This window comes from Homo sapiens, chromosome 8, assembly GCF_000001405.40.
Source record: "Homo sapiens chromosome 8, GRCh38.p14 Primary Assembly".
NCBI lineage: Eukaryota > Metazoa > Chordata > Mammalia > Primates > Hominidae > Homo > Homo sapiens.
In genome coordinates, this window is record NC_000008.11 from 121,685,864 (window position 1) to 121,697,834 (window position 11,971).

An 11,971-nucleotide genomic window follows, 5' to 3' on the forward strand; every position below is an offset into this window, starting at 1 on the left:
GATATCCTATTTGGTATTATGTCATATTCTGTTAAAGCTAATTTTGATCAAAATTTAGCAAATCACTTCTCATATACCTTTTATATGTCTAGTGGTAGAGGGGGCCAAGAATCGTTGTTGTTGTTGTTGCTGTTTGTATGTAATGTCAGAGTGTCATGTACTTCTTTTTATTTTTTATTTTTTTGAGACGGAGTCTTGCACTGTTGCCCAGGCTGGAGTGCAGTGGCACAATCTCGGCTCACTGCAAGCTCTGCCTCTCAGGTTCATGCCATTCTCTTGCCTCAGCCTCCCGAGTAGCTGGGACTAAAGGCACCCGCCACTATGCCCGGCTAATTTTTTGTGTTTTTAGTAAAGACGGGGTTTCACCATGTTAGCCAGGATGGTCTCGATCTCCTGACCTCGTGATCCACCCGCCTCGGCCTCCCAAAGTGCTGGGATTACAGGTGTGAGCCGCCGCGCCCAGCCCCAGAGTGCCATGTACTTCTTGATATGCAACAATGAAATCAGAACTATATGCCATGTTTTATCACTTATATGTGTGCATAATCTTTATAAAATGAACGACAGCTAGAGAATGGACAGATATACACATATCAGCTTTATGATAAAGTTGTGACTTTTGACCAGAAAATCTCTGGATAAATATCTGCATCATAAAAAGAAATTAAATCAGAATAGTGGGTCAGGTATTCTCTTGGCACGTTGGATAGTTGTGATTAGGAAAACTTGGTAAAAAAAAAACAAAAGAAAAAAGACCTTGTGAATCATTGAAAACAAAATGAGAGAGAGTATATAACTTTTCAGGAGACAATAAACATCATAAGCATCCATTCATATGTTCACTCATGAAAGTATAAACTAATTAAACATATCGATTTATAGCCTTCTAAGTGCAATGTTGTGTGCTAACTCTGTAGAAGCATGTTAGAAGATATGCTGAATTGATGCTCAGAGACTTGTTCTAGATTACCTAGTTTAAAGTAAGAATTAAAGCAGCTACTGTGATGTAGAAAAAATGCAACAAAATCTATTTGGATATCCTTGTTCTGAAAGACCCTTCCTTACTCATTTTTCAAAACGTATCATTTCTTCAGAGCATTAAATTCTAATTGTTGTGATCGAGTTGCTACTTCTGTTTATTTGTTTTGTTTTGTTTTCACTTCGTTTTAGGATTCGGAACATATTATGGCCACTTTGACGTATCTGTATACCAGGTGTCATTATAAAACATTCACATACTACAACTTAGGGTATTGGCCACTATAATCCTTATTGTCTGAATCTTACTACTTCACACACCTTACTCAAGCTTCTATGAATAGGCAGGTGATAGCATAGAGAAGAGAAACAAACTAGGTGATTATAATTGATAAGTGAGCAATAAGATGCTCAAAGTGATTAATGCACTAATAAGAAGTATGTGTCTGATTTAGAGCAGAGACTGTCTGCCAAATCCTCACTTCCTGCATCGTCCACCAATGCTTTCATACCCTAGACCTGCAGATAGGCAAGAGAAGATGGCATAGTTATGTATTAGCGATGGAAAGTAACTGAGAAAAAATCAGCAAAGTCACAGAACAGGAAAGGGGTTTTGCTACTACAGGAATCCTACAAACTTCAGGGAGAGAGAGAGACACAGAGAGAGGAAAGAGAGAGAGAGAGAGAGAATAAGCTTAGAGATCAAGCAAGGAAAGGTTTTTGTTTTGTTTTGTTTTTATCAGTAGGTCTCTGTATTAGGCAGCCCTCTTCGAGACAGAAAACCCAATTCAAAATTATTTAAGAAAAGAAAAATTTCTTGTTTATGTACTGGCAAATTTCACCTAGGGTTTTCTTCGTGATGGCTAGATTGAGAGACTCGAGTGATGTTATTAGGATTCTGTTTCTCCCTTCCTATCTTGACTTGACTCAGTTGACTTCTTTTGAAGACAGTCTCTCCCTTGTCCTCAGATATGGAGCAAAATGGTGAGAGGCATTTCCCTATCACAATGGAAAACTGGCTGCCTCTATTCCAAAAATTATTTAGAAATTTTCAGAATTTAAACTCATTAGCATGGCTTGGAACTTTCTCATCCCTAACGCAATCCCTGTGACCGATATAATGATGGTAATACTAAGAGTAAAGGGGAGAGACAGATCCTACTGATTATTAAAAAGTTATAGTCTGATAATGAATGAGTGTTGTCAGGAATAGAGGTCAAGATGGCTGACGAGAGGCATTTCAAGCACATCTCATCCACTTAGAACAACCAAAATAGTGTGTAGACAATCACACTTTGAATACATTATCCAAGAGGGACAAAGAAATGCAACAGAAAAGCAACAGGAAACACCAAAAATGAGGAAGGAGAAGGAAAACAGGCAGCCTGCTTGGCCAAAAACAACTAGGAGTTGGGAGTGACTCTCTAATCTGGGGAGAGGGTGAGTGAGAGTCTTTCAGTGGTCCACATTCCCACTGGAGGATTGTGCAGTCCAGGCCGTGGGAGAGCATCTTGGCCCTCCCAAATCCTAAAACTAAGTTAGGGAACTGCTGGGAGACTATGAGAAGGAACCGCCCTAGGGAGGGAACATACCTTAGGTCCCACTCCCTTTATGAAACCTAAGCAGCTGTAGCTGCTTACATTTTCTATTGTACATTTTCTATTGTAAATTTTTAACAGACTGTGCACTGTCCTGTGATCTAATAGTACTGGTCCTAGGCATTAGGGAAACTTGGACTACTGCTTACAGAACTGGGCACAAGGGCAGAGTGAACTTCTGCAGCCAGAACTGTGGTGTGGGCAGCAGCCACCAGATGCTGGGAAGTGGGTCCCACCCCTGAGACTTCAGCAGGATTCCAGATGCCATGGAAGCTTGATCTCTAGCTGGGCAGGGGCTCCTATGGCCAAGGGCTGAGTTGCGATCTAGCGATGGACTGTGGGGTCTGATGGTTAATCCAGGTCTGTTGCAACAGCCAGGACTGAGGAGCAAGCCCCATCAGGACCAGAACATGAGAGAGATTCATATATCCCACATACTGCTCTAGACTGTGGCCACTGGGGATGGCCCCACTTTCCCCTTGCTAGGACTTCAGTGTAGCAACTGTCACCCCTCACCTGAGCTTTCTGCCAAGTACCTGATGATCGTCCTTCCCTTGTCTGTTATCGCTGGTACAGGCAATCACCATTGGGAGGTCTGAGCACAAGCCTACCCAGGCTGGCTCCATCTGGCTTTGCTCCCACTAGGAGACAAAGCACAAAATCCAGGGTCCTGAGCATTCCACAACTGAAACAGAAACGCTGACACTAAATAATGCATTGACGGAAATACAAAATACATTAGAAAGCTTCCACAATAGACTAGATCAAGTGAAAGAAATAATTTTAGAAGTTGAAGACAGGTTTTTTGAAATAACCTAGTTACACAAAAATAAAGAAAAATGAATAAAAAGAATGAACAGAGACTTTGAGGCATCTGAAACAACATAGAATGACTGAATTTATGAAGTATCACTATCCCAACCTGAAGAAAGATAAAAAATTTAGAAAAGCAATTTAATAAATGATAGATAAAACCTTACCAAGTCTAGAAAGAGATTTAGATATCCAGGAACTGTGCAAAAAGGACTTTACCACAGCATTTTAAAATTAGACTGTCTAAAGTTAAAATGAAAGAGTTAACTCTAAAAACAGCAAAAGAAAAGCAGCTAGTATCTACAAAGGAAACTCCATCATTCTCAGCAGAAACCCTATAGGCCAGAAGAGAATGGGATGATATATTAAACATACTGAAAGAAAATACTGGCAGTAAGGAATATGATATCCAGTGAGATTAACCTTCATAAGTGAAGGAGAAATAAAGTCCCAAATAAGCAAATGCTGAGGAAATTAGTCACCACTAGAGCATCTCTAAAGAAATGCTCAAAGTAGTCCTAAGCTTGGAATCAAAAGGACATTTATCAGCATGTAAACACATGAAAGTATAAAATTCACTGGTAAAACAATCACACAAAGAAGGAAAAGAAAGTCATCAAATGGCACCACTACAGAATTTGAAACCACAATTACAAACTGTAAGAGAAAAAGAAATAATTTATAAGACAAATAGAAAATGATTAACAATATGAAAGGAACAAAACCTCTCATAGTAGTAATAGCCTTGCACATAAACGGATTAAGTGCTCCACTTAAAATATATAAATTGGCTGAACAAAATTAAAAAAAAACATAATTCCACTCTATGCTGCTTACAAAACTCATCTTACCAATAGGGACACTTTTAGACTGAAAGTAAAGGGGTGAAAAATATATTTCATGCAAATGGAGACCAAAAGTGAGCAGGACAAGCTTATATCAGATAAAACAGACTTTAAGTTAAAAAAAAAAAAAAAGACAAAGAAGGTCATTATATAATGATAAAAATATCAATTCAGCTAAAGGCTATAACAATTCTAAATATATATGCATCCAACACTGAAGCACTCAGATTCATAAAACAAGTATTACTAGAACTGAAGAGAGAGAGAGACATCAATACAAAATAGTATTTCAACACCCCATTTACAGCATGAGACAGTTCATCTAGACAGAAAATTAGCAAAGAAACATTGGTTTTAAACTGGGCTTTAGACAAAATGGATCTAACAAACATACACCATTCTACCCAAAAAGTGCATAATATACATTATTTTCATCAGCACATGGAACATTTTCTAAGACAGACCGTATCTGAAGCCACAAAATAAGTCTCAACAAATGTAAAAAACCAAAACCATATCAAGTATCTTCTCCGATCACAACATGAAAACACTAAGAATACCCAGAGGAACATTGGAAACTATAGAAATACCTGGAAAGTAAACAACATGCTCCTGAATGACTATTGGACCTACAAAGAGATTTAGATGAATTTTTTTTTTTAATTGGAAACAAACAGAAATGGAAACACAACAAACAAAACTTCTGGGATACAGCAAAAACAGTGCTAAGAAAGAAGTTTATAACATTAAATGCCTACATCAAAAATGTAGAAAGATTAAAAACTAACCATCTATATACCTATATAACAAACCAGCACATTTTGCACATGTATCCCAGAACTTAAAGTAAAATAAAAATAAAAAACTAACCATCTAATGATGCACCTCAAGGAACAAACCAAACCCAAAATTAGCAGAAGTGAAATAATGATCAGAACAGAACTAGATAGAGGCAACAACAACAAAAACAGTACAAGGGATCAACAAAAAGAAAAGTTGGTTCTTCAAAAAATAAACAAAATAGATAAACTGCTAGCTAAACTAACCAAGTAAAGAAGAGAACAGATCAAAGTAAACAAAATCAGAAATGAAAAAAGAGATGTTACAACTCCTACCACAGAAACACAAAAGATCTTATGAACAACTCTATGCTCACAAACCAGAAAACCTAGAGGATAAACTCTTGGAAGCATACTACCTCCCAAGATTGAATCAGGAAGAAATAGAAAACCTGAACAGATCAATAATGAACAGAGAGATTTAATCAGTAATAAAAAATCTCCCAACATAGAAAATCTCAGGATCAGATAGATTTACAGCCAAATTCTACCAAATGTACAAAGAAGAAGTAATACCAGTCCTCCTAAAACTTTTCCAGAATGTCCAGGAGGAGGAAACTTTTCCTAACTTGTGCTATGATGCCAGTATCACCCTGATACCTAAACCAGACAAGAACACAAGAAGAAAAGAAACTATTTTATCTCTGATGACCATAGATGTAAAAATCCTCAACAAAATAGCAATCCTGTCAACAGCACATCAAAAAAAAAACATATACTATGGTCAATGAGGTTTTATACCAGGGAAGCAAGGATGGTTTAACACACATAAGTCAATAAATGTGATACTTCACATAAACAGAATCAAGGACAATAACCATATGATCATGTCAATAGATTCAGAAAAATAATTTGATAAAATTCAACATCTCCTCGTGATAAAAACCCTTAGCAAACTAGGCATAGAAGAAACATATCTCAAAATAATACAGGTAATGTAAAACAACCCCACCACTAACATCATACTGATTGGGGAAAAGTTGAACGCATTTTCTCTATGGACTGAAAAAAGACAAAGATGGTCGCTTTCACCACTCCTATTCAACATAGTGCTAAAAGTCCTAGCCAGAGCAATCACGTAAGAGAAAGAAATAAATGGCATCCAAATTGTAAAAGGGGAAGTCAAATTCTTCTTCTTTGTTGATGATATGATCTTATATCTAGAAAAACCTAAAGTCTTCACCAGATAACTCTTTGGTTTGCAAAATGAATTCAGTAAAGTTGCAGAATACAAAATCAATGTACAAAAATCAGTAGTGTGTATATATACCAGTAACAACCTAGCTAGAAAGAAATCAAGAAGGCAATCACGTTTATAATATCTACAAAAAATACCTAGGAGTAAACAACCATGAAAGATCTCTACAAAAAAAACCTATAAAAATGATTAAAGAGATAATATATGACACAAAAAAATGGAAAAACATCCTTTGCTCATGGATTGGAAATAACGTTAAAATGACCCTACTGGCCAGGCACGGTGGCTCATGCCTATAATCCCAGCACTTTGGAAGGCTGAGGCAGGCAGATCACCTGAAGTCAGGAGTTTAAGACCAGCCTGGCCAACATGGTGAAACCGCGTCGCTACTAAAAATACAAAAATTAGCCGGGCCTGGTGGCATGTGCCTGTAATCCCAGCTACTCGGGAGGCCAAGGCAGTAGAATTGCTTGAACCTGGGAGGCAGAGGTTGCAGTGAGCCAAGATCGCATCACTACACTGCAGCCTGGGTGACAGAGTGAGACTCGTTCTTCAAAAGTAAATAAATAACCATACTGCCCTACAGATTAAATGCAATCCCTATCAAAATACCAATGTCATTTTTCAAAGAATTAGAAAAAAATTCTGAAATTCATATGGAACCAAAAAAGAGCTTGATCAGCCAAAGCAATCCTGAACAAAAAGAACACAGCTGGAGGCCTCACATTACTTGACTTTAAATTATATTACAAGGCTAAAGTAACAAAAAAGCATGGTACTGTTATAAACATAGACATATAGATCAATGGAACACAATAGAAAACTCAGAAATCAAGCCACATATTTACAGCCAACTGATCTTCGACAAAGCTGATAATAACATATACTGGGGAAAGGAAATCTTCTTCAATAAATTATGCTGGGAAATTTGAATAGCTATATGCAGATGAATGAAACTAGACCCCTATCTCTCACCATATGCAAAAATTAACCCAAGATGAATTAAAGACTTAAATGTAAAACCTGAAACTATATGTATGAGAAGAAAACCTAGGGAAAAGCCTTGTAGACTATGGGCTAGGCAAAGCATTTATGACTAAGACTTCAAAAGCATAGGCAACAGAAAAAAAAATAGTCAAATGGGGCTACATTAAACTAAAAGCTGCTGCACCACAAAAGAAATAATAGAGTGAGGAGACAACTTGCTGAATAGGAGAAAGTATTTGCAAACTATTTGTCTAACAGGGAACTAATATCCAGAATATAAAAGAACTTAATTCAACAACAGCAACAACAAATCATAATAATAATCCCATTAAAAATCGGGCAAAGGACACGAATAGACTCTTTCCAAAAGAAGACCTACAAATGGTCAACAGGCATATGAAATATGCTCAGCATCCCTAATCATCAGAGAAATGTAAGTGAAAACCACAATGGAATATCATCTTACCCCAGTCAAAATGTCTGTTATCAAAAGGACAAAAAATAACAGATGATGATGAAAATATAGAGGAAAGAAAACTCTAATACACTGTTGGTGGACATGTAAATTAGTACAGCTCCTCTGAACAACCATATAGAGATTTCTCAAAGAACTAAAAATAGAAGTACCATTCATTCTAGTAATCCCACTACTGGGTATCTACCCAAAGGAAAAGAAATCAATGCATCGAAATAATACCTACACTCATATGTTTATCACAACACCTTCACAATAGCAACGATATGGAATCAACCTAAATGTTCATCAACAGATGAATGGATATAGAAAATGTGGCATATATATCCATGGAATATTATTCGGCCATAAGAAAGAACAAAATCATGTCTTTTTCAACAACATGGATGGAAATTGAGGTTATTAACTTAAATGAAACAAGCCAGACACAGAAAGACAAATATTGCATGTTCTCACCCATAAGTGGGTGCCATAAAATGTGTTCACATTTGTGCAGAGAGTTGAATGACAGATAATGGAGACTTTGAAGGGTGAGGGTGCGGAAGGAGGGAGGATGATGAGAAATTAGTTAGTACTATGTACATTACTTGGTGATGGATTCCCTAAAAGCCTTGACCGCCATGAAAATCTACACATGGCCAGGCGCCAGTGGCTCACGCCTGTAATCCCAGCATTTTGGGAGGCTAAGGCAGGTGATCACAAGGTCAAGAGATTGAGACCATCCTGGCCAACACGGTGAAACCCCGTCTCTACTAAAAATACAAAAATTAGCTGGGTGTGGTAGTACCTGCCTGTAATCTCAGCTGCTCGGGAGGCTGAGGCAGGAGAATCGCTTGAACCGGGAGGCGGAGGTTGCAGTGAGCCGAGATCGCGCCACTGCACTACAGCCTGGTGACAGAGCAAGACTTGTCTCAAAAAAAAAAAAAAAAAAAGAAAAGAAGAAAAAAACCTACGCATTTAACAAAATTGCACATGTACGTCATAAATTTGTATGAATAAAAAATTCTTCCCTAACTCCCTATTGCGCCATACCTTTTTGTTTTGTTTTGAGATAGAGTTTCACTTTGTGGCCCAGGCTGGAGTTCAGTGGTGCAATCTCAACTCATTACAACCTCCACCTCCCAGGTTCAAGCAATTCTCCTGCCTCAGCCTCCCAGATAGCTGGGACTACAGGCACCCACCACCATGCCCAGCTAATTTTTTGTATTTTTAGTAGAAACGGGGTTTCACCATGTTGGTCAGGTTGGTCTTGAACTCCTGATCTCAAGTGATCTGCCTGCCCCAGCCTCCCAAAGTGCTGGGATTACAGGCATGAGCCACCACGCCCAGCCTCCATACTTTTCTATAAGTCTCTATCACACTATATTTGGGATTAAATTGGGTAGGAAAGTAGGGCATGTGTCTCTGCTACTAGACTCTGAGTCCCTTGAGTACCTTAAGTCCCTCACACAAGACATGGCACAGTAAAATTTAATAAATATTTACAGTATATTTTAAGAAAAGAATCGGGGTATGTAGGCCATGAGTATTTCTTTTGAGTTATTAGATATCATTCTCAGAATAATAACATTATTTTATTATTTTTATTTCACATATATATAAGATAACTGTGTCACAGAGTAGTCAGGTCTTCCTCTTTTGCCCAGGCCGGAGTGCAATGACCCAGTCATGGTACACTGCAGCCTGGACCTCAAAGGCTCAGGCAGTCCTCCCACCTCAGCCTGTGAGTAGCTAGGGACTGCAGGTGTGTGCCACCATGCCAAGCTAATTTTTTTGATTTTTACTAGGAATGAAATCTCACTATGTTGCCCAGGCTGGTCTCCAAGTCCTGAGCTCAAGTGATCCTCCCACCTCGGCCTCCCAAAGTGCTGGGATTACAGGCATGAGCCACCGTCTCCTGCTAGAACGATGATATTGGAGAGGATAGAAAGCAGTCAGGATCACCATTTCTCTTGCTACCCTCTCCTCCTACTCTTAGACTTTGGTCATTATGGTTCCTGCCAAATGTACTTTCTATATCGTTAGTCTTTAATATTCCTGAAGTTATTTGTACTGTTCTTGGATAAACATATGCTCTATATTACATACTAGATTTGATTATACTGACAGAGTTCAAAATATTATAAGCTTAGGTGCTCTTGGATTATTGACCAAGGTGATCAAATGGTAAAGGGCAATATTCACTGACTACTTGCTATATACACAACATCATTCTAAGTCTTTTGCATGTATTATTTCATTGAATCCATTCAAAAATTCCAGATATATGATATTATTAGCTTCATTTTATAGATGAACAAATTTAGGCAAAGAGATGTTAAGGAACTTGTCTGAAGTTGCCGTCTTAGTAAGCAGAGGACCAGGATTTGAATGCAGGCAGCTGGCATCAGAACTCACATTGTTACACTATTGCTGCTCAGTAAGTCTTGAAAGCCCACAAAGCAGGACTAGACTGCAAGAAACTGAGGAGGCAGCAGGCCGGTGAAGAGTTTCTAAATGGAGGGAAGGACAAAACAATCTGCCCTTGAGTTGTAGATTGGTCACTGGAGAGAGAAGAAAAAGAGAGATCCTTCGAGACGTAAGATCAAAAACCATCTGGAGAGCCAGAAGGGGAAACACCAGCAGGGAACAAAGTGTTTCCAGTATTGGGAACATATGAGTAAACCATCAGATAAGCATGGGAAGTCAGCCTGCGAAGTCAGGAGGGCTACCTCAAGAGAGAAAGGCAACAGCTTGTTATGGTTTCCTAGAGCCTACATGTATATCTAGTCTCAGTGAGCAGGGAAATTGTATTTAATGTCTGACATGTTTAGGTTCAGTCTGAACAAAATATCTCATTCCAGCATTGAAGATTGCAGACCTAAATGTCATTCAATGTGAAATAACAAACATGTATTTTTCCTTGTTATACTTCTAATTCCAGTAATGTACCTTCTTCCTTTAAGCTCTATGCTTCCTAAATTGCACCTTCTTTGAAACAGCTCATGCTAAGATTTGAAGCTTGCTGCATCAGTTAAAGGTGTCCCTAAGCATCTGATGGATAAAGGAGGACAGTAGAAACCTCAAACAAAACTGCTGCCAATAATCAGAGGATATAAAACAATAAAACATGTATAGCGTTCTTCCAAACATCAAGGAGGCTTCTTTTCTCTTTAAAGCTGTAGTGTACACAAGATACAAAATGTAACCTCCCAAAAGAAGAAAATTTAGGTCTCTGGAAACTATATGGGAGGTCAGTAGAAAAGGGAATCATTTCTCCTCAGGCACTGCAATGACTGGAAACAGTTTATGAGGAAAATACATTTTAATCTTTTCCCTGACATTTAGTAATTGAGTATGTATACAGTAGCTGCACACACACACACACACACACACACACAGGCACAGCTTAATTTACACAGAGCTATTTTACAGTATATAATAGGACCATAGCCCTTCCAAAGGTCAGATTAATTAAAAGGTCTATTCATGGATTTTCAGAGAATTGCCTTACATAATATTATTAGTGTCATCAATATCACTTGAAATGCTGTAGAACATAACGCAGGATATACAATTAACTTTGCATTAAGATTTGAAGTGAGACAAGCACTGCCTGTGAATATCATCCCTCAATTTGTAAATCACCAGAGCGTGGTGACAATTTGGCTTGACTACAACTATGCCTGAATGAAGTACTTTTCCTTTTGAGAAAAAAGGAATCTACGAGCATGAGGACTCCCTTTTCTCCTTTTAGTTTATTTTTTTAAGTCATTTATTAATTTTCCCTTTGGTAAAAATAATTCCAGAGTTTGCCTTTTCTTTTTTCTTTTGAGGGGAAGGGGTAACTTTACAGGCAGTTTCCTTAGTCATTCTAGGCAGCCAGCCAATGAAATATAGACTAAACAACACAGAGGATATTAATTTTACCTCACCATACATGCACACAGCTAGTGATGCATAAAGTCTTCATTCCAAGACTGACATTAAAAGGGTTGTGCAACTGCCTAGATTCCAATGTCACTAACGGTTTTCTGAGGGAGTTGGAAAGAGATAAGAGAGAGACCTTGGGGAACAATTTTAAAGTGGCTCAATAGCGATCGCAGAGCCAAACTCATACCTACATCAATGTGGTGCAGAGAATCTCTAAGAATTTTTAATGCTGAATTGGAGCAAAGAAACTTCAAGTATGAACCTAAAAAGAAATCAAAATGTATTTCACAGTTATATTAAGAGTTTTCTGGCAATAGAGAAGCTGT

General features: G+C 38.0%; 1 long non-coding RNA gene across 5 annotated transcripts in view; it reads right to left on the minus strand.

The window, feature by feature from the left end:
- The window catches only part of LINC02855 (long intergenic non-protein coding RNA 2855), a 28,610-nt gene extending 16,916 nt beyond the window's left edge, over positions 1–11,694 (minus strand). For 2 of the 5 annotated variants that reach the window (NR_183454.1, NR_183453.1), the window contains exons 1-2: positions 11,643–11,694; positions 10,131–10,276 (exon numbers count right to left, since the gene is read on the minus strand). This is a non-coding gene — a long non-coding RNA (long intergenic non-protein coding RNA 2855). The remainder of the gene's footprint in view (positions 1–10,130; positions 10,277–11,642) is intronic. The other 3 variants (NR_183456.1, NR_183455.1, NR_183457.1) reach the window with 2 other exon arrangements.
- Positions 11,695–11,971: the final 277 nt, after the last annotated feature.